The sequence below is a fragment of the Homo sapiens genome, chromosome 2 (assembly GCF_000001405.40).
Source record: "Homo sapiens chromosome 2, GRCh38.p14 Primary Assembly".
NCBI classification, from domain to species: domain Eukaryota; kingdom Metazoa; phylum Chordata; class Mammalia; order Primates; family Hominidae; genus Homo; species Homo sapiens.
This window is the reverse complement of record NC_000002.12, coordinates 36,469,186-36,492,725: the sequence shown is the minus strand read 5'-3', so window position 1 is coordinate 36,492,725 and position 23,540 is coordinate 36,469,186. Positions and strand designations below refer to the sequence as shown.

The window sequence follows — 23,540 nt, the reverse complement described above, 5'->3', positions numbered from 1 at the left end:
GCCATAAAACTGGAGATAAGGCTGGCCAAGACAGCATCAAAGCTTGTCTGTTTTGCTGTATTTTCATATGTCAAGCTGTTAACACAGATGCTTTTCAAATGTGACCCATAACTGGTCAGAACACCTTTCAAATAAATCACTAAATTGTCAACATAATTGCATCTTGGGAAGGAAAGTACAGTGAAGATGAAATTTTCCCAAATGAAGCTAGAGGGAAAACTCTACTAAAGCAGACAATAAGAAAAAAAAAAAATTGAAGATACAAAAATTCCCTAATCTGGAAGTGGGAATTTCCGTAGCATCTGAATGTGTACTTAAGAAAGCCTCATTAAGTCATGGAAAAAAGTCTCTTACGGTTGGAGTTTTCAAATTCTTTTAGCCGCTACACATTTGGTTATCCTTTTTCCCTTTGTACACTTCTCATAACAACACCTACATCCTTGTAATTTCTGAAGTACTTATCTCAGAGCAGTTTATTTTATTTTAAAATGAACAGTGTGCAAATGTTCCCAAGATTTGTATTATTTTGTGATCGGAAAAGGAAGCAACCATGTATTTATTTTAGACCTATTTATTAATTTTGTATGCTTTTCCCAAGGAATCTTGGCTGTTAGACATATTAATATTTTTCTTCCTTTACCAAAAACATATTTAATAGGAAAAGATGGTAGCATTATTGAGATTATTAAAAGACCACAAAAGACAAATTAAAATTTTTTTTTATAGAGTGGGGTATCTTTTTCCAGGAATCCAGCTTGAGATAGCTCACAAAATTATCACTGGATTCTAAGAATCTAGATCTTTTATACTTGTCTTACATTTTATTCTTATTCTTTTTATTGCTAATGTTCATAGGAATTATATTTTGGTAGCTTTAAGTGGAAATAATGTGTTACATTAATAGGTATGCGGGTTTGTGTGTGTGCACATTTAAGTAGCTATTTTCAACTTGGAGGATGGGTCAGGCGGTCAGACTTTTGGTAACTGGAACCTACCCTTCTGGCAAATGGTTGAAAACCAGGGAGGAAGGGTCTGCACGTTAGGGACAATACTTCATTCATTGTTTATAACCTCAGCACCTAGTACAGTTTGGTCTATAGAACTGCTCAATGAATGAACAAAACGGGAAAACGAAAGACATCTAAGCACCTAAAGTCAGTGTAACATTATTTGGCAAAGAAGAGCTCCCATTCAAAATTGTCCTAAGAGGCTGTATCTCTAATTTTCTAACTTTTAGAAGATTAGACAGTAAGTTCCTTAGGGTCCACACCACTGTGGCAGTCTTTTGCACATAGGAGGTACACAATAAATGAGCTCCACTGAAGCAGAAAGCCAGATCTTAAGGCTGTTGTAAACCTGACACACTTAATAATGGTGAAAATGGAGTGCAAATCCCCAAATCCAAGCCGTCCAAAATGAGATTACTCAGTGATGACACTCGGTTTCCTGAGATGGGTTAAAATACGATCATATGATCTGTATCTTTGGCTTAAGAAGGCAGAAAAGTACACAAAGCATTATAGAAGGCCTCCTATAAAATTCTTAATGTAAGATCTGACATCCCAAATTTTAATTATCTGGAGAATTCACTTCTGGAACTACCCTACTCCTTGATAATGCCAAATAAAAAGTGTTATTAAAATAATCCTGAAAACAGCTAGGCAGTCATTCAACTCAGGAGCTCATCTTCTACTGCGTGAAGTTATGGGCACTTTTGCTGACTGCTTGGCAAATTGACAACCGGCTTAATTAGAGACTGACAAGAATCAGAGAAAGAAAAGGAAGAGTGCATAGCAGAATGCACACGTGCTGATGATGGTATCCTGGTGCCTGGCAGACTGATGGAGGCTGAGCAGCTCAGTTACTCAGTGGGGACTTAAGTGCCAATGGTTAGGGCCTGGGGCCTAGAATTTGGATGGATATGCACAAGAATGGGCAGAGGTCAAGCCTGACAGGATGGGAGAGTGGGTCGGGGCTCTTGGGTTGAGTAATGTCCCTAGGTGGGAGGATGCAGGAATAAACAAGTAGAAGCAGAAAACGGATCCAGCTCTCCCAGAAGTCAAACAGCAAGGTCAAAATTCCAGTCAGAGGCTCATCAGAAGAACCCGGGATCAAAGGCTGGGCCACAGAGTTCAGAATAACAGTAACCGGGTCTCAGCAATGGGGATGGAGCCAGGAGTGGACTGGCCTTTGAATCTAAGCCACAATGATCAAGTACTTTGACATTCATCATCTTATTTTTCTCATCCCGTCTTCTCACAATGGGGGTCTACTGGGAAGCAATGCCAAGGTCATGGATTTGGAGTCAGAAAACATAGCTTGAGTCCCTGCTCTCTCATTAGGCTAACATGTTATGATGGACCTCTCTGGGCTTCCAGAAAATGGGAATACTCATTATTTCTACCTCACAATATTCCAATAATGCTCAAACAAGCTTGTCAAGAAAAGACTATACTGTAAGGGTGACAGCAACATTACTTCTTGTTGTAATTATTGATGTCATGCTGATCTTGTCTGCTCAGAGCTATAACTGGTCTCAGGTAATGGCTAATTAATGAATTCTTAGCCCTTTCACAGACCTCAAATGCACAGCTGATAAATAGTATGGCAATTGGTTCAGCATTCTGAACCCTGCCTGTTGTAACTTAAGCATCATTTTTTGTCTCCACTGATAACGTGAAAAGCATCTGAGACGGTGGGTGGGTCTGTGCTATCTTTTCATATGGTCTGGTAAGCTTTGGAGCACGTTAGTGACCAGCCAGTGACGCCTTTCACATTTGCTGAGTAGCAGTCTGATATCATTGTTCTACATTTTGACTATGTCTATGATGTCTCCAAGAGAACAGAAATCTCTTAGTAATCAGCTAATCCAATGTGGGTCGAAACAATGACTCTGTGTGCCTGGCCCCTGTTCTTCCTCTCTCATGATGGGGGCCTTGCTAGATCTTTAGGGACAAGGGCAAACTCATCACAGAATCATTTATACTACTTTTTATCTTTGCCAGTGTTTCTTGCCACTCTCAAGTTGAAAGACACAGAAGACCTATTTCTAAAAACTGTCTTTAACGAGCAGATCTCAGTGTTAGGAAGTCAGGGATCTCAAACATATGTCAACAGTAAGAGAAAATTCAACCAGTACTTTCATAACAAGAATTGTAGGGGCTCCTCATGCAATGAGTCATGTTCTTAGTATCTCTGTCACAGGACTATGGGACACACCCCCTGTGGAATTCGTCTAACATAAAATCTCCATGGAATCTTTTAAAAACTTGATTCCCAGAAAGGATGAGAGATTTATGGCTTTGAAAAGATCTGAGCTTGCCGACCCTCTCCGTATGCAAGGCCCGAGGCCATCCCAAGTGGATAGCTTATTATCTCCAAACATATTACAGCTTCCCTAACAAATAGAGACTCCTTGAATTGTTTTAAAAGTGAGCTGACATGCAGGGCAATAGCTGTCCATTAAGGTGAAAAACAACATGATCTCCTGTCTTCCTACTGATAGGCAAACTAAGGGGGTTCAACCACCATGCAAGGCACAAAGGCACAGGCACGGGCAAATGGTAGGCACTGATTATACATAAAGAAGCACATAAATATACCTCATTAGATTATGTAATAGATCCAAGGCAGTCTCAAATTATATCATGAATGAATACTTTTTTAAAGTAAGGAAATGGGGATCCAGGTAAATTTTAGCTAGAAAAGAATAAGCTGCAGTCAGGGATGAGGTAAGCACACAGAACGCATGCTTTGAGTTCTGGTGCTGGTCGAGCGGTGGCTTGCAAATCAACTCTCGGTTTGCTCCGGCAGCCAATGTGAAAGTTACATGATTTGCAGGGTCCACAAGGATCAAGTACTTGGCCTTAGGATCTTGAGGATTCTTAGTTGTGTTTCACTAGGCTGCTGCAAAGTAAGAGCTGGAGCCTGGGACTGCATCTTTTTACTGGCAGCTAGCATTAAATTCTGTGATCTCAAATGGTCCATATACCTGAACTAGGCTGTTTCAAACAAACCAGATAAATCCAGCTAATCTCTCAGATGCGAAAGTTAAACTCCACTGAGGTGTAAACAGGTATTCTGTAGATATAAATGGTAAATAAAAATTTGGTCAAACTGCTGATCAACTTAAACTCAAAATATTTATAAAACAAAATGCATGCTTTCTGGCAAATTTCAGAAACATGTTACATGTCCCGTATTGCTCAAAGCACATCAAATTTAGATTAAACTGATGGTATGACCCCTGGACCAAGATCTGGCTTTGCTGAGTCCCCTGGCAACAGATTTCCCAATCTGCATTCTGGGAGCTCATGCAGGGGAGTATTTGGGGCTCTCAAATTAAGAGGCTGATAGGTGGGTATGATGCTGCTCCTGCCACCTCATCAGCCACCTGTGATGGGGAGACCCACACATGCGCAAGAGGCGTTCTTTAATGGACATTTCCCCTCTTTGAACCTGTCCTACGATTTTAAAATAGTATTGCAACAGATGGTTTATATGCTTGTGTGACACTGTATCTTCAATAATCAGATAGATACAACACAGAAAAGTTCTAATGGGGGTTTAACAGTGACTCACTGGATTTTTCACTATCTTCAGTGCTAACCCTCATATATTAAGCAATGTGAAATCATTCTGTTTTTATAGGATATACTTAAGACTATACCAGGAAACAGTATGGTATAACTAGAAGTGGAATTGGATAACTAAAATACTAAAAATAAATTATATTAGAATCGCAACCTATTTTGACCTGTTTCTGTAGGCAAATTATTTTAGTCTAATGTATTTGAAAAAAATGTTGGAATAGAACACCTGCAATTTCAGAAAAACGTTGTAATACAGTATATGACCATTTAAATACATGCCTCTAATCCCTAGAAGTCATAAAAATACTATGTAGTAGGTGAATTGATTTTTTTTATAAACACACCAGGAGTTATACTTACAAATAAGTGTTATTGATAAAAGTACTCACTTTTAGAGGCTATATTCTTATGCCAAAATGCTGTTCATGTTAAAATTCTGTTTGAAACCTCTTCATAGTTGCTTTCAGAGCAAATTACTATGTCATAGAAGACAAAGTGCCTTTATTTTACTGTCACTTTTTGCTTCCTCTAAACAGTTTTACTCAGCTAGATCGGCCACCTTTTTTTTTTTTTTAAACCAGACTTCAACATAAATGACTTTGGCTATTTCCTAGAGTCTAATAAACCTTCAAAGTCAAGGGTTTACAAAGCTAAGGATATTCAAAAGGATGTGCTATGATCTCTAAAGTCAGTTTCAAAAGAGAGGCACCAAAAATATTCTGAATGACTGTATCCCTGGAGTAAGTATACATTTTTCCCATATAACTTGTGAAAGGAAAAACACTTCACTTGAATATGTACATTTTAGTATGTTTAAAAATAATTTTATTATCTGGCGGGACCTTGTGTTGGTGGGAATAAACAAACATGCTTCATAGGAAAAGTGTAATCAGGTGCTATAAATACAGGAGTGTTGAGTCCAATGAATTCCTTGGAACTGAGGCAAACAGTAGGAGATGAAGATGAGGATTTTAAAATAAGATGGTCTCATATAGCCATGTTAGGTAAAATGGTATCTGTTGAACATTGGGCAGTATGATTACTAATTAAAATGTTAAATTCTACTGGGTAGACAAAAGCTAAAAAGTAAACCAATTCTGCTATTTATCAATGGTTGCAGCATAAAGAAGATGGAATCTTTTCTTTTTAAAGTCTGCAGGCCTTTTCTGAAGGGCATGTCTCTTAATAACCTTCATTAACTTCTGTTTGGTTGCCTAAGAGTTGTCTCATCCAAAAAAAGTTTAGCACAGTCTCAAAAGAGATTGTGTTTATTTAAGCTTGTTGGAAAAACATTCCTATCATTTCAAGAATGACTAAATATTTTTCATTCACATAGTTAGCATTCCAGACTATGTTTTCCTGCCTCTGTTGATTAGATGAAAATTAGCAGGCCCAAGTCTGATCTATTAGATGCAATTATTGTCTTAGTAGGAAAATTATGAGACTCCCAGCAATAATACCCTTTTAGGTATGGGAAGTAGACAGCAGAGGAAATAAAGAGCAACCCACCCCCTTGCACGCCACTTCAACAGGGAAATACTTAACAGCTGAGCTCTGTAAACTCAGGGGCAGAGGAATTTCTAATCATGTGTTTCAGAATTAGCTCTCAACAATTCTGAACATTTAAGGCATTGATCAGTTTGGTCATCTAGCAAATTAAGAGTATAAGACCAATCTTCATTTTTACTCGTAAAACTTGGTTCAGTATGACAGTCTTACTCAAAATCAAGTACAAAGAGCAAGGCATTACCGACACAAGCAAAGACATGCTGGACTTGGAGAACCAGCAGCAGAACTCCTAGGTATAAGTAAGAATAAACATTTCTTCTCTATTAAACTACTTCTACAACATTTATTTCTACACTTGTTTAACTATTAATGTAAGTGGTGGATCTAACATGTAAAGAAAGCCACTCATATAATGTACATATTTCTATATAGCTGTGAAAAATCACAAAATCTTGAAAGTGATATATTAAGGCTGGATGTGAGTGTCTTTTGCATTTACTTTACCTATATTCTAGTTTTATTGCAAATATGTAAAGACATTTTAAATGATCAGAGAAAAATCAAAATATGACAATATTCAACATTGAAAAATTTCTGATGTTTATGTTAAAGACCTAGGTTAAGAAACAGTCATTTGCTACGCATTTGTTACCCAACATATGACCTTATTTGGACAAGCAAAAAATAGACTGTGTTATATTTTAATTTCCATTTATGGAACTAGTTTCCAGGACGTTTAGAGTTAAAGGATAAAACACATGCCTAACAGTCTTTAGGCTATTACGAATATTTTATTATTCTTGGCTTACTAATAATAGCATCGTATATGGCACTGAAGCAATACCACCCATAAACTGAGTTTTGATCCCTGTTATGTACCAGAATGTTAATAACATGTGACCCTATGGCATCTTTGACTTCACTGCCTCTTGGGGTCAGCCAAACTATGTTTGACTCCGTGCCACAAAAGCAGTAGCTTAATCATTTGAGATACTGTTCAGTGAGGAAGCATTATGGGCAGGGCTGGAAACATTTTTTCTTGTTTCAAAGAATTCCCACCCAGATATGTGCCTGGTACAGACTTTTCTGGCAGCCCAGTGGAAATCTCATTAGAAGGGCAGCTTGATTCAAGCTATATCATCAGCCTTCAGGGAGAGAATATAGTGCTTCCATAAATTTGGGATTGATGAAGAAGACGACAATATATTTGACAGCTCACAGAACTCCAGCCTTTTAGAGGAGCACAACTTACAGTATTGGGTGAGCTGAGACTGAAGTGGCTTACTAAATCCACATAGGTCAAGACGTGCCTGACATCCAGTCTTCAACACTGTCCCAAGTAGGACCAGGATTCCCTAAGTAAGAGATCCAAGAAAGCCAGGTGGCAGGAAGAAAGATAGTGGATTTTTTGGTTCAACCACATTCCATCCTAAACCCAGAATTAGAAGGAATCCATGCACAGTGAATCTCTTATTCCTCTATCCTCTACTTCAAGAGTTAAGTCCAGGTTAGCAGAATTATTAGGCCTGAAACTCAGCTGGGTATCTGATAATATGTCTGCAAATAGCAATTTTAACTTTTTATTAAGAAGAAAACTTAAAAAATACTGAATACTATGGACTCTGATATACCTCTCATCCAGCTTTAACAATCTACAAATAACTCTTTGACTTCCTGTTAGAGATAGAACATGGATTTTGCTTTGTTTTCAGACAGACAGAAATAGTAGAGGGGAAACTACCCATTTGCCCAACCGCTAGCACGGAATTTTTTTACTGGCAACCTGAGTATAATTCTGAATGCTACCTTTTAAAATATTACCTAAGTTGTTCCTAGTTCTTGAAAAGTGATACTCTGGTGTTGGCTTCAAAATCCCTAAGGTCATCAAAATCATCAGCTCCTCCGTGCAGGAGATGGTGCACCTAAGGAGGCCTGAAGAACACTCAGATCACAGTGGCCACCTGGGCAGGGTCCAGCCGCAGCCCAAGATGAGAAGGCAGATCAGGTCTGACATCAAGACTTCAAAGTCCCCAGGAAGCTCTAATCTCTTGCATCAGGTGTCACAGCTAAGCTGGCCACACACCTGTCCACATCTCTTGAATTTTTCTTATTGAGTAATCACGGGGATGTTATAGATGTCATGTAGCCAAAACTTCCCTCCCCGATACCTTATCTTACCTTCAATCACAAAATAGATTTCTAATGGAAATGGCAACCTCTCCTCAGGATCCCTCTGACATTAAGAATCAGCTTTGGCAGCATTTATACTTGCTATTATTGAAAAAAAAAATCAGCAAATAATTCTCAATATCTAATGACAATGTAAAAAAAATCCTTGCCCGTGTAAGTAACTGAAATGCAGTGGCACCTACACCATGCACAAGGCGTCTTAAAAACAGTACATTAACGTGGCAGCAAGCATTAGCCTTAGAGGGTCTGGGAAGCCCCAGTTAAACTCTGTGATTCTGGACTTCAGGGGCTGAACTGGGACAGAATAAACCACAGAATACACATCAGTCTTGGAAGGCCCATGAGGCTGACACAGGGATGGAGCCCAGAGCTGAGTGCCCATCAGAAGGGTGAACCGTCAATGCAGGAAACTGGTCCAACTGGCCTGTAGACATGTAGGCCCACCTCATGTCACACACTTCCATAACACTCTTACTTATGTTCTCAAAATGTGTTTTCAGTGATAAGCATGCTGACATTATTCTTCCTTCAACTAGTAGATCAGGGGTCCCAATGGCCATCAGCTTTTGACGCTCTGGTTAAGGTAACCCTGTATCAGGGTCTGCTCCCTCACTCAACTAAAAAGAAGATCTGTATGAAGGGTCTGGTTGGGACTTCCTGCTCCAGTCTTTCTTTCCTCCTCACTGTCCTCACTTATTATTTACTCATTTAAAAATTTTGAGCATCTACTTACACATCACATGTTGTTTTAGGGATTCAAAAGAATATGCCAAATTCTTTCTTTACAGGGGGATGGAGCCTCTTTCAGGGTATAATGCACTGCAGCGCAGAGGCACTGTCCATTCAGGGTCCAGGGTCTGGTCCTGGGGACACACTGTGCTGTCACTTATGAGCTGTATGACCCTGGGCAAATTACATGGCCTCCGAACTTTGTGTTCTCTGATGGTAAACTGGGATGACAGCACCCATACCGAAGGGATGCTGTGAGGATCTCAAATTAGTTGCTCCTCTTAAAGCACTTAAACCTGACACATAACAATTGTATGAAATGTTAGCCACTGTCATTAAGGGTTACAAATAACAGTGGCCCTGCAGATGAAGACCTAATTCTGCCGTCCAATCTCTTTTTTGTTTTTAGTTTTTAAGGAGATTAAGGCTGTGTCGTCTATGTATGCCATTCAACTGAAAACTTTATATGCTATTCCACACGTTTCCACCCTAGCTCTTCACAGGGGTCAGAAAATAAAAATAATGAGATCGATAAACAAGAGATGTAGAGAAAAGTCAACAAAGCAAAATGTGAGAATATAATCAGTTAACAGACTGGAAAGGCTTATCTGTATACCTGAATTGGGTGTTGACAATAACTTGCTAAGAATTCATCATGAGAGTACTTAAGTGCCAATTTAAAAAGCACTTAGGTACTTGTGAATCAAGTTAGCTGTCAAGTAACAGCCTAGTCTTTAAGGGCCCCCAGGTTCATGTCCCTAGTCCTCCAGGAGTAACCAAAAGACACATTATCTTGTCATTTGGAAGGTATGTGTCTCCAGTAACAACAGCCACAATAAGGTTCTTCCTCCCTGGAGGTCCTAACACGCCATATTTAGTGATGCTGTTAGTTTACTTAGAATCTAAAACCACAATCCTTGTGTGGGGTCCTTTCATCTAATTTCATACTCTGACGATGTACCTAGAGACTGTAGCTAATAGGGTAAGGGCCAACACTGGTTACGCAACTGTGCACAGAGGAATTTATTGTGTGTATAAACTAAGTAAATACCAGTGTTTCTGGTTTTCCTCTAACTATTTCTGGGTGATTGCTTATTTATTGCACATTAACACCTTGCACTTTTTCTTATTTCATACAATCCTTTTGCTACTCTGAAATCATTTGAAATTATATTTAAGTATGATATTGAATGACTGCTGAGAAAAAATGTCTTCAAATGATCCCAGAGACTTTCTTGGACCCTATAAACTAAGCAGTAAGATCCATTCACCTTGTGTTATTTTGTAAGTTTATTATTAGTAGCCATAAATAACCCTTTAGTATCATTATCTTAAGCTGTGCACTGTTTTTTAATCCTATACTAAAATAATCTGTGTTCTTATTATTAATACATCTTAAAATGAAAGCATTATTGGAGAGTAAATACATTCATATGAAACTCACTACTCAACTAAGTTAAAAACAAAAACAAGAAAAGCAAGATAAATTATTTCTGAGAACCAGAAAATGGAATCTTCTGAAACGTTTGATGAGAGATCAGAGCCAGAGCATGAAAGAGACAGAGAGGAAAAAAGGCCAGCAGAACTTTACCGCTGAAATGACAAGGATGCTGAGCTCTGTTGAGGTGGAGGGGGCTGCCCAGACCTGAGGCTCTAGAAGTGAACTCAGGGATGCATCTCAAAGGCATCTTTCCCCTGAGGTCTTCAAACTGCGAGGAGACAGTAGGTGGACGATCACATTCAAAATACCTGGAGTAGTTTTCAAACTGCAAAATGATTTCCTCCCTTGCCTCCGCTGACTGCCCTCACTCCTCAACAGAGCCAAAAGCCAGAGGTGAGTAGAGATGGGTGAGGACACTAGAAGCAGGGCATGAGTTAGGCTGGGATGCTGTGTGGGGCAGGGGAAGCAAGCACAAATGGAGCCGAATCTGACAAACTTCCGTTGATCTTCACTCAGCCACACAATGGCAACTATACCCTTGGGGGAAATGATCTAAATCGCCTTAAACCTGAATGTCTTCATCTCCAAAATGGGATAATAAAGGCTTCAGCAGTGTTGCTCTGAAGGTTAAATGAAATTGGGTACAAATGTGATGCACTTACCCCACCATACCTCAACGGGGACATTCCCTTTCTTCTGGTTTAATTCAAAACTCAGCCTAAATAGGCTCTTCAAAGTTAAAGGTTATCTCTTACTTATCTTTGTGTCCAATGCTGTATCTGAATTCCAGGAGGTTCTTAATTTTTTCAAATTAATGGCTCACCAAAACTGTAACTCTTTTCTCAAACAGTAGATGATTAGATTACAACTCTATGCAGATGTTGCAGAGACCAAATTCTAAGTGACCACACTAAGTTTCACTCCTTACCCAAACATCAATGTGTGCTAAGAAAATGGTAATAAATGAGTTATATATATATCTACCTGTTCACCAACTGCCTTCCTTCTCCACTCTTCATGATGGATATGCTGATAAATGCAAAAGGTGGGTGCAAAAGGATCAGCCTTCCTTTCATTTACTTCCAGAGGAAAGGCTCTTTTATTCAACAAGTTTTTAAAGTTTTATTTTGAATTTATGACATAAGACCCATGAGGTTAAAAGGCTAATGTTTACTGGATTATGAATTTATGCTTTTCATATTCCTTACCGTGTGTCCCAAATATTCGTAATTAAATATTTCAAGTTGGCAACAGATTGTCCCTAATTCTTAGGGACTGACATTCTTATCTTCATCTGCTTCAGTAAGGCACCCTTTCCTGTAAGGCCGACTATACAACCATCATATGTATTTCTACATGCTCTTTTTTTTTCAGCACTGAAATGCTGCCTTTAGGGAATGGGAGGAGTATATATACATGCAGGGGTGGGTGACTTCCACAAAACTGGTCATCTGGAAGCTGTAAAGTTCTGGAGTGTGGCAGCTGCACTCTGAGTACAGTAATGACAAGGGAATCGGTGATGTCAACAGAAAGAGAGGCCTCAAGCTTAAACTTTTATATGATTTTTAAGGTCTTTAATAAGTCTAGCCCCTCAGAGGCTGATGAAGCTAGTCAGGCAAACTCTGGAGTCTGAGTTTATTAACATTTCGGTGGAAGCACAAGATTTCTTCGCACTTAAAAGACTTAGTCTACTTAACTGACTTTCTGGAAAGATAAGTCCATTTTTCAATATCTGTTTTTAGAAATTCTAGAAAGATCCATCTTCAACATGGATTAATTTTTGATCCACATTAGTTCATTTTACTATGCAAATGTACTTCTTAATGCTGGATACCCTCTATTAGAAATGTCTGTACAAATATTCAAGCCCTTGTCTGCACTAACACACATGGACACAAGATTAAAGACTGACATGAGTTAAGTATGCAGAGAATCTTCCCAGGATGGAGGAAATGAGCTGGAATAGGAGTCGGGACAGAAAAACTAGTCCAGGATGCCTCAGGCTTCCCTCCACTGAACAAGAAGAGAGATAGCAAATGCAGGTAACCACGACATAAATAACAGCACTAGAGGAATTGCAAAGCCACAGCCATTGGTATATGAGAAGTAGAACAGATACTCGGTGACGGCACTAGGCAGTGGAAATTGGCTTTCATGGTTCCAGTCTTTTCTTCTAGTTGCCAGGACGCTTGGGCATATGGAAGCATCACAAGTCAAAGGTGCTAAGATTGACTCATCGGTCTCATTTTCAATTTCATTTTGTTAGGCTGACCTTTGGGTGTTAATTAGGTTCAAAGTGAACTTAATTAAAATGTACATATTCTTATACTGTAAAGTATTCAGACGCGCATATTTGCAATGGCAAAATAATGACCACACTATTCTCATTTCACATGTGCAACCTTTCCTCAAATCATCAGTTTGAGCTGTTTGATAAATTTGTTGGCAACTGGTAACAGCGTGAAGCAGACATTATGCCCAAGGAAATAAACAAACAAGAACGTACGCTGGTAGAAGCTTCTCCAACAGAAGACATTCACCAGGGACTCATTAGCATCTGCAAGATTTACCTTCGCACACAGGGCAACACTCCCCAGGCACTTTCACAGGGTTTGTGCAGGTCTGTCCGCAGACGGTCGCAACGCAGTGGCGTTCACCGTTGACGCACTGGCAGAATGTGCAGTCGTCTTCCCGCCACCGGTCTCCGTGGGCAAGGATCAGGCCATTGGCATAGCAGCCAGCGGGATTATTAAAAGGATACACTGGATCTAAATGAGAACATGAGTTCAGAGTTAGACTGAGCATCTTCTAAATCTTATCTCTGTCAGTACCCAGAGACATTTTTTCCCTGGGTTCTAGTCATCAGCAGTTCTATTCCCACTGTGATCAACAGAAGCGCAGGGTTGCATGAGGAGTCTCTGGGGGTGCATGCAAAAGAAGCTGTCACACTGAATTTATGTCTACTCATCCTGACACAGCAGTCCCAGAGAAGAGGATCTGTAGTCTAAAAACCAATGTGCAGGTGTTATCACTCTGTAAAGTTGGAAAGCTTTGTGGCAAGAGCTGTGGGTTGGTAATTAGAAAACATGACTCCATTTTAGGCTCTGACAATGTCTTCGCAGTTGTAGACATAAATGTTTATCAAACCTCAACTTCCCTAACTGTAAAGCGGAAGCAACAATGCCCTAAGTCAGAGTGATATTGTTACTTCTAAAACTCTATCTCATGTACCTGCACGACCATGTGGGCAACAGTGGTCTTGCTGTGGACTTGTTCATGACAAGGCTAGTCTAGACATACCATGGGTCACTGTGCCTTGGAGGAGCGCTGTGAACTTAGGCCATTTTTTCTCCCATAAGTTGGGAAGCTAAGCTGCAGCCCCAGGTGGGAGACAGAAGTAGCCAAAGCTACTGTAAAAAAAAAAAAGTTTCTGAGGTTACTGACAAGTATATAAATACTGCATATGAAACCCTCTCTTATCCCTCTATTGAGAGCAACCAGATAAATTACTCAATTTTCTTTCTCAGAAATACATAAAAAACTGGCTTCAACAAACAACTACTGCTGTGCTGAGAGAGGAATCCAGACAGTTCATAGAGTTTGGTCATCATTATTCTAAGGACATAGTGGGACATTATAATAAAGTCAGTTAGAAGGTCAGCATTTAAAATAATGCCATCACAGCGTTAGGAAGGCAGTCTGCCAGAGAGGGAGGCGGCCAATGGACCTGAGCAAGAGAAGATTTTTTAAATTCCTGTGTAAAAAGTATTAGAATACATATTTTTCTACGTTGAGCCTGGATCTGAATTCCAGGAAGTGAGACATAACTGGATCCATGCCCAGACAACTCAGTATGATGACTACACAGAGGTTCGTATCTACATTTTTACAGCATCAACTGCTGCACAGTTTCAGAACTATTGCAGACTGGGGGCAGGTAGGGAACAAAACAATTAGAAAGGTTAAAAATTTGAAGTAATTCTTTTTAATTGTCAACATCACCTAAAAAATAAACTACTTTTCTCCTATGTTGGGTAAAATAACCTCTAGTAGGGAAAAGAACTCACTGTTATGAACTATGTTAGGAATGCAATTTTTATACTTTAAACATTTTCAGATCTTCAATATTATGTTGTAAATATTGCTCAAATATCAAAAGGAGAAAATTTTATGAAAATGAGGAAGTATGGAAAGTGGCATGACACTGTGCCCTCCCACTTTGTGTGCAGAGATCAGGCATAAGATTAACACATGCGACTTCAGATTGAAGATCTGGGGCCTGGTTAGGACAGGAAGGCTCACAAGACCTTCCTTTCTGGGGAAACAGTGTTGTGTTGTCAGAAGAACACTATAGACACAGTCAGGCACGGGGTTATTGTTACTGGCTGCAGTGTAAAGTGACTTTACAGGCAAGTGACTTTTCTCTTCTGAACTTCAACATCCTAATCTGTAAAATGTGTGGGTTGCAGGGAGTGATATTCAGAGCAACTGTTTTGAAATGCTTATTGTTTATGAACATCAGTGATGGGAAGATGCAGCCTGTTGAAGGAACATGAACATATTACTTCTTGGAGAGAAAAGGGGAATCCAGACAAAGCAGATTCCTGAGAGTCACACCTGACACCTGGCTGGGCCTTGAGTTGGTGTCACCAGGTGGTGACCTGATACCACGACCCCATGTGAACCACCACATATTTTCAGAGAAGCAGTAGCAGGTCCCTGATCTCCCTGGAGGGTCCTGGGTATTACGACAGTGGCAGAGTTAGTTCCTCTCTGGGCCGGCAGGCTGAGACTGTCAGGGTGAGGCCCACATTATCCTAACTGAGCAATCTGAGGTGAGGAGGTGGTGAGCTCTAATGCCAGGGTGAAGATAAAGCTTTGCCCTAGGACTTGCTGAGGAATTGCTAGAACTGCAGGGGAGGAACGGAAAACAACTCTGGGACATCTCACGTTGCCTGTGGAAAGAGGTGACCCATTGTCTACACCCAGGCATAGCTTCCCTTAGGGAAGTGTTTCCACACACTCTACCTGGCTTTAACATGCTAAAAGACAGACCATGGTGTCTTAAAAAAGGCTAAAAAAGGAACTTCAATATTCCTTTACTTTTGGATGAGACTGAATTAGGACGATTTTGATTTTAGAACTCTATACCATGTATGCTCCTGTTAATCTGTAATTAGCACCTTTTCTTACCTTCACACACTGGGCAGCACTCTCCTTCGGGCACGTAGTACCTCTCGCAGTTTATCTCACCACACTGGGCGGTGAAGCAGATGGCAACGCCCCCTTGGCATCGACAGAACCGACAGTTGTCCATTCGAAACATGTCTCCATCATAATATTCCACATTGTTAAATACGCAGGCTGGCTTTGTATCTGAAAAGAGTTAAAACAAACAAGGCATATTTGTAGTCATTTTTTAGTTGTGTCCTTTGATGTTTTTCAAACAGCCTCTAGAAAATTTCTAATAGGAGGTTATAAGTTGATGGAAATTTACTCAACTCAATGTAAGTTCATGTAACAGAAAACAATAAAGTGAAGCAAAACAAAATAAAATAAAACACACTGTTATCCAGTTTACACCAAGGAACAGAAATTCCCCCTAGGAAAATCTACACTGACTTCCTTCCATCCCAGACAAAGCTAAACTTTATGACCATGACACTCACATATCTGGTATGTGCTTTAAAGTGATTCTATTTGTTTGGTTAAATCATTGTCTACCTCAAATGAATGATCCTGCCTCCACATTAGGTTTTGTTCTGCTTCAAAAATTTTATTATGGTCTTTTTTGAAGTGGTGATGTTCTGTTCCCCCAGTGCTCTCTCTTAAATTCTTTTTCTCTGTACATGGTATAAACACGTATAATTTTAATAGTGTTTGGCCTTTAACAAAATACTCTCTATATGTATCACCTCACTTAATCCCTATAATGAAGGTCTGACATAGGTATTATTATCCTGAGTTTAAAAGTGAGGAAATCCTAGGTAGTTTACTCAAAGTCACACAGCAAACGACAGAAGCCAAAACAGTAGCTCTTCAACTGAAACCTTGTGCTCCTTCCATTGTGCTTCAGGGTTATGTTCTGCTGAGGACTCATAGTCCCATATTTAGAAGTCTCATCACGATATCAATGATTTTTAAATTTTTCTCTGCCTTGAAACACTCTCCCTACATTCATTCTTTAATTTTAGTTGATTTAAAATAACTCCCACCAAGACAAGAAAACACAACTACAGATCAGTATATTATAAATGTAGACACAAAAATCTTAAAAAAAATTACTAGCAGACCACATCCAGCAACATATAAACAAAATTATACACCATGACCAAGTGAGACTTATTCCAAGAATGCAAGGTTGGTTTAACATCCAAAATATTAATGTTAATACGATATGTCACACAATAAGGAAAAAAAGCAACATGATCATTCGATAGACACAGTTTTTGGCATCTGACAGAATCTAATATTCTTTCATGATAAAAATGCTCAACCAACTAGGAATAGAACGGAACTTCCTCAACTTGATAAATGGCATCCTCAAAAGTCCTACAGCTAACCTCATACTTAATGGCAAAAGTCCAAGTGCTTTCCCCCTAAGATCAGGAACAAGACAATGAGGTGTGTTCTCACCACTTCAATTCGACATAGTAATGAAAATTCTAGCCAGAGCAATTAGGAAAAATAAATAAATTAAAAGCATCCAGATTGGAAAGGAAGAAGTAAAACTATCTCTAATTGCAGATGACATGATCTTGTATGTAAACAGTTTTAAGGGATCCACTAAAAAACTATCAGAATGTATAAACAAGTTCAACAAGGTTGCAGAGTACAATTGCAACTCCCCAAATTGTGTTTGTATACCCTAGCAATGAACAATCAGAAAATGAAGAAAACAATTCCAATCACAATAGCATCAAAAAGTATACAATACTTAGGAATAAATGTAATAACATAAGTACAAACTTGTATTTTGAAAATAACAAAACATTTTCAAAAAACTAAAAAGGCCTAAGTAAACGGGACATCCCGTGTTCATGGATTGAAAGACAACATTGTTTAAATGGAAATATTCCCCAAATTGATCTACATGTTCAATGCAATCTCTATCAAACTCCTAGCTGGCTCTTTTGTAGAAATTGATAAGCTGATCATAAAATTCATATGAAAATGCAAGGGACCCAGAATTGCCAAAACAATCTTAAAAGGGAGAACAAAGTTAGAGAACTCCTACTTCCTAATTTCAAAACATAATACAATGCTATAGTAATCAAGACTATGTGGTACTGCCACAGGGATAGATATATAGTTCAATGGAATTGAGAGTTCAGGAATAAACTATCACATTTACAGGTATTTTGACAAGATGGCCAAGACTCAGTGGGGTTCAAAGTCTTTTTTTTTTTTTTTTTTTGATATAGAGTCTCACTCTGTCACCCAGGCTGGAGTGGAGTGGCGTCATCTGAGCTCACTGCAACCTTTACCTCCTGGGTTCAAGTGATTCTCCTGCCTCAGCCTCCCAAGTATCTGGGACTACAGGTGCATGACACCATGCCCAGCTAATTTTTGTATTTTTAGTAAAGACCATGTTGGCCAGGCTGGTCTTGAACTCCTCTGACCTCAAGTGATCCAACCACCTTGGCCTCCCAAAGTGCTAGGATGACAGGTGTGAGCCACCATGCCAGGCCTGAGGTTGAAAGTCTTTTGCATTATCTACATGCAAAAGAATAAAGAAGAAAACCCTATGCCTCACACCATATACAAAAATTAACTCAAAATGAATCATAGAGTTATGATCTAAATACAACAGCTACACCTACAGTGCTCTTAGAAGGAAGCATAAGAGTTAATCTTTGTGGCCTTTGATTAGGGAGTGGTTTCTTAGATGTGACATTCAAAGCATAAGCAACAAAGGAACAAAACAGATAAACTGGACTTCATCAATTTTGGGACTTAAAAGGACACCATCAAAAAGGTAAAAAGACAACCCTACAGATTGGGAGAAAGTATTTGCAATCATATATCTGATTTAAAAAAACTGGTACCGAGAACTCCCATAATTAAACGATAAAAATAATCTAATCAAAACGGGCAAACCTTTGAACAGACACTTCTTCAAATAAGACAGAAATGGACAATAAACACATGAAAAGATGCTCGAATCATTAGTCACTCGGGGAATTCAAATCTAAGCTGCAATGAACACCATTTCACACCCACTATGATGGATATAATTAAAAAATAGTAACGAGCACTGATGAGGATGTGGAGAAACTGGAATTCTCATAGATTTTTAGTGAGGATGTAAAAGCACAGCTGCTTTGGAAAACAGTTTGTGAGTTCCTTAATTTGAGTTATCATATCATCAAGCAACTCTACTCCTAGGTATATACCCAAGAGAAATGAAAATATATACCCACAAAAAAGCACTATAAACAAATGTTCCTAGCAGCCCAAGAGCCAAGAAAGAACGAACCTAAATATCCATTAACTGATATATAAACAAAAAGTAGTATATCTATACAATAAAATATTACGTGGCCATAAAAAGAAATGAAGTTCTGATATGCAATATAACATGAATGACACTTGAAAATATTATGCTAAGTGAAAGAAGCCAGTCACAAAAGACAAGGTATTAATATTATATAACTCTACTTATATGAAACACCCATCATAGGCACGTCCATAGAGATAGAAAGTAGATTAGTGGTTGCCTAGATCTGAGAGCTTAGGGGGAAAATGGGCAGTGACTGCAATCAGTTCAGGAGTTTTCTGATGGCTTGATGAAAATGTTCTGAAACTGATTGTGTTGATGATTGCAGAACTCTGAGCATACACTGAAAACAACAGAATTGCACAACTTAAGTTGGTAAATTGCATGGTGTCTCCTAAAGCTATTTTTAAAAAAAGTACTCCCAAGCTGAAGAAAGTTCTCCTGAGGTGATGAGCCCTGCTCAATCTGCCGGTGAAAGCTGGATGATGATATCCCCATCTTTCAAGGGCTCTTCTGTCCATCCCCAAATCATTTAATATGTCCCCTTGCATGTCTAAAATACTTTCACCGCATTTGGAGGATATTTGCATTTGCATTGTACTCAAGGACAATTACTTTATATTTATTTTATAACAACCCCGCTAAGAAGACAGAACGAGTATTATTAGTACCAGTTTTTTCGATAATGAAGATGAAACTTAAAGAGATGACGTGATTTGCTTAAAGTCACATGAATGAGGCAGTGATTTTATGTGTGCACACGTACTACATGTGAATGTTTAAACTCCTTCCTTAGTGCTACATGGATACAACATTTTTTCAGAAAATTAATGTTAAAAAAGAATCATCTTACCATGGCTCAGAATTCTTCTATATACTTTTAGCTAACAAACTAATCTGAGTTGGGATTGAAAGGAATTGTGCAGCTACACTATAAGTTCCAAAAAGTATAGAAAACGGAGTACTTTTATACATTAAATTTGCAGGCTGTAGAGCGAGGCAAAATACTGTACTCTAACAAAATGAACATCCATGGAAACTAAAAAAAATAAACCAATCAATACTAATTATTTGGTTGAGTTGATCAACCACAGCTACCATCTGGGTGAAGCCACAACCCTGGTGCATGATCTGAGGAAGTGTGGAGGGCAGGTTCTGGTTATGAATAAAGCTGCTTCAAGTGGACTTGTTTTTATGGTAGGGTGTGCAGAAGCTTAAGCAGGAGGGGATGGGACTGACGAGAGAACTGTGGCACTTAGGTTTCACTAGCAAAAGCACAAGGATCAAGGGAGTGGAAGTGAGAAAGATGGAGAATCCTAAAAACACAGCCTGGAAACACAATCAATCTTTAAGGGTGAAAAAAGTCACACAACACAATGAAATCTGTTTGATGTTCAAAGAGATTTATAGAGGCTCTTAAGAAAAGTATATGATAAAAAGGCTACCTGTGGTTTTTGAGGAGCAATGACCAATTACTTCTTCACCTATCAGGGGTAGATGTGAATCTCAGAACAGTGTGGAGATTGCCACAATCTCCACAAAAGGATGATTTAAGTGGATGTGGAAAAGTGTTATGAAGAAATAATTTACTGTGTAATTTGTACTTCTCAATATGAAGCACAGAAGTGCCTTTTTAGTGATTTTTTGTATGTGTTTTGCGTCTGCAAAATTAAACTTTAAGTTTCTAAGTTCTGGGATCTTCCCTTCCTTCTTGAATATACTTCAGAACTCCTAAAAGAGAATTTTGTAATATAGACTATTAGTACATGCTACTGCCTACCAAACTACACTGATTGGTGGATGGTGATAGATACACCTCAAAGATATTGTGGGTTCAGTTCCAGACCAGCTCAAGCAAGTCACACAAACTTTTTGGCTTCCCAGTGCATTTAAAAGTTATGTTTACACTGTACTGTAGTCCATACTTGTCTAACCTGCAGCCTGCGGGCCACATGAGGCCTAGGATGGCTTTGAATGCAAACTTTCTTAAAACATTGTAAGATGGTGTGTGTGTGTGTGTGTGTGTGTGTGTGTGTGTTTAAGCTAATCAGCTATCATTAGTGTTAGTGTATTTTACATGTGGCCCAAGACAATCTTCTTCTTCCAATGTGGCCCAGGGAAGCCAAAAGATTGGACACCCCTGCTATAGTCTATTAAGTATACAATAGCATTATGTCTAAAAAACAATATACATTCCTTAATTTAAAATACTTTATTGCTAAAAACTGCTAACGATCATCTGAGCCTTCAGTAAATAGTAATCTTTCTGCTGGTGGAGGGTATTGCCTTGATGCTGATGGCTGCTGACTGATAAGGATGGTGGTTGCTGAAGGTTGGGGTGGCTGTGGCAATTTCTTTAAATAACACAATAATGAAGTTTGCCACATTGACTAACTCTTCCTTTCATGAAAGATTTCTTTGTAGCATGTGATGCTGTTTGATAGCATTTTACTTACAGTAGAACTTGTTTCAAAACTGGAGTCAATCCTCTAAAACCCTGCTGTTGCTTTATCAACTAAATTTATGTAATAGTCTAAATCCCTGGTTGTCGTTTTATCTGGTGAAGATGTTGTCACAGCATCCTCACCAGGAGTAGATTCTATCTCAAGAAACTACTTTCTTTGCTCATCGATAAGAAGAAACTCCTCATCCTTTCCAGTTTTATCATGAGATTGCAGCAATTCAGTCACATTCTGCAGGTTCCACATTTAATTCTAGTTCTCTTGCTCCTTCTACTACATCTGCAGTTACTTCTTCCACTGAGGTCTTCAGCTCCTCAAAGTCATTCATGAGGGTTGGAATCAACTTCTTCCAAACTCCATGTTAATATTCTGACACCTTCCCCTGAATCACCTGTGTTCTTAATGGCATCTAGAATGGTGAGTGAATCCTTTGCAGAAGGTTTTCAATTGATTTAGTTCTGATCCATCAGAGGAATGACTATCTACAGCAGCTAATCTTATGAAATGTTTTTCTTAATTAACAAGACTTGAAAGTTGAAATGACTCCTTGGTCCATGGGCTGCAGAATGGATGTTGTGTTAGGCACGAAAACAACACTAATCTTGTACACCTCCATCAGAGCTCTTGGGAGACCAGGTGCATTGTCAATGAGCAGTAATATTTTGGAAGAAATCTCTTTTTCTGAGTAGTAGGTCTCAATGGTGGGCTTAAAATAATCAATAAACCATGCTGTCATCCAGGCTTTGTTGTTCCATTTATAAAGCACAGGCAGAGTAGATTTAGCATAATTCTTAACAGCCGTGGGGTTTAGCTTAAAGTTATCAGCTGCATTAGCCCCTAATAAGAATCAGCCTATTCTTTGAAGCCAGGCATTGACTGCTTCTCTCTTGTTATGAAAGTCCCAGGTGGCATCTTCTTTCCATAGAAGGCTGCTTCCTCTACACTGAATATCTGTTGTTTAGTGTAGCCACCTTCATCACTTTTCATAGCTAAATCTTCTAGATAACTCTCTGCAGCTTCGACATGCAGCTTGTCCCATCCCTCCACCAAAACAAATTAAAACCAAAGTGAAAAGAGAAGGACTATTCATGGAGGATGTTCTCTCCATCTGTTCATTCAGGCTAGTGTTTTCAAAACTCAGGAGTTCTTGAGTTCTGTGTGTTTTTAAATCCTTAAGTTTTCCCTTTATTAATTATACTGATGACATGTTCTTAAAGTTGTGAATGTGGACTAGCCTCAATAAATATCTGGTCTTGCTAACTATACTCTCATAATTAATGGCTCGGTATTAAATACTATAAGACTAAAAATATGTTTGCTAGTTTCAATTGGCTTATTCCACAGGGAGAAGAGGGGAAGTGTGTGTGTGTGCTGGAGGACACCAAGCATATCCTATTTCAGGAAAAGGGGAAGAGAACAACCCTTAGAAAGGATTACAACAATGTGTATCACTCTTTAACAAAATTAGCTTAACAAGGCCCCAGGAACACGAGGGGTGCTCAATAAACACATACTGAGTGGAGTATTGCTCTCAAAGTGCCAGAATATCTCCATTATTCTATCAGTAGAAGACATTACGTCCTTAGAAACATTATGAGCATAATTGCTATATAGACAGTGGGTTCTTAATGTTTTCTGTACTAGTGTTTTTTTTTGAAAATTAACAGCCTGCAGGTCTGAATTTTCTAGGCCAAAATTTTACATGAGGAGCAAGCTGATGCTGGGTACGGCTCCCCTTTAAATGGTGATTTCACATGTTACTGTCTTAGAGAAAATTCTGTCAGGGCCAACATAAGATTACTTCCAGTTTTTATTAGCCTTTCGTATATGCCTGAATAAAACAGGAACTAATTACTGGGTGGGCAACATGACCTTCATCCAGGCTCCTCACTGTTAGTGCTGCATTTTAATACTGCTGTGAGAAGCAGAGTGCTACAGGGACAGTGCTCCAAAACAGAAGTATTTCAAATGGCACAAAACAGGCTAAAAACACACGCTAAGTTGTATTCAGATCCCCTTTCTCTGAACTTACTTCATAACCCCCTGAAGTTGCTTTTGGCTAGTTGTGCCATACACAAGTAATGCTCCCATCCCCACCCCATCCACCCACCACTCTT

The 23,540-nt window shown here is 39.0% G+C and overlaps 1 protein-coding gene across 14 annotated transcripts in view, besides 1 other annotated feature; it reads right to left on the bottom strand.

Moving 5' to 3' along the window:
* Positions 1–23,540, bottom strand: part of CRIM1 (cysteine rich transmembrane BMP regulator 1) — a 195,358-nt gene that overhangs the window by 58,410 nt on the left and 113,408 nt on the right. For all 14 annotated transcript variants that reach the window (XR_007076383.1, XM_011532898.4, XM_011532899.4 and 11 more), the window contains 2 exons: positions 15,655–15,837; positions 13,032–13,229 (listed from right to left, as the gene is read on the bottom strand). Coding sequence is in view for 13 of the 14 variants with exons in the window: in XM_011532898.4 (XP_011531200.1) it covers positions 13,032–13,229; positions 15,655–15,837 (381 nt within the window). In the remaining variant the exon portion in view is untranslated. The remainder of the gene's footprint in view (positions 1–13,031; positions 13,230–15,654; positions 15,838–23,540) is intronic.
* Positions 16,006–16,300: a silencer, noted in NCBI's record as "tiled region #14108; HepG2 Repressive non-DNase unmatched - State 15:Elon". NCBI's record gives its function as "represses a minimal TATA promoter and a strong SV40 promoter by Sharpr-MPRA in HepG2 cells {active_cell/tissue: HepG2}" and the evidence as "EXISTENCE:reporter gene assay evidence [ECO:0000049][PMID:27701403]".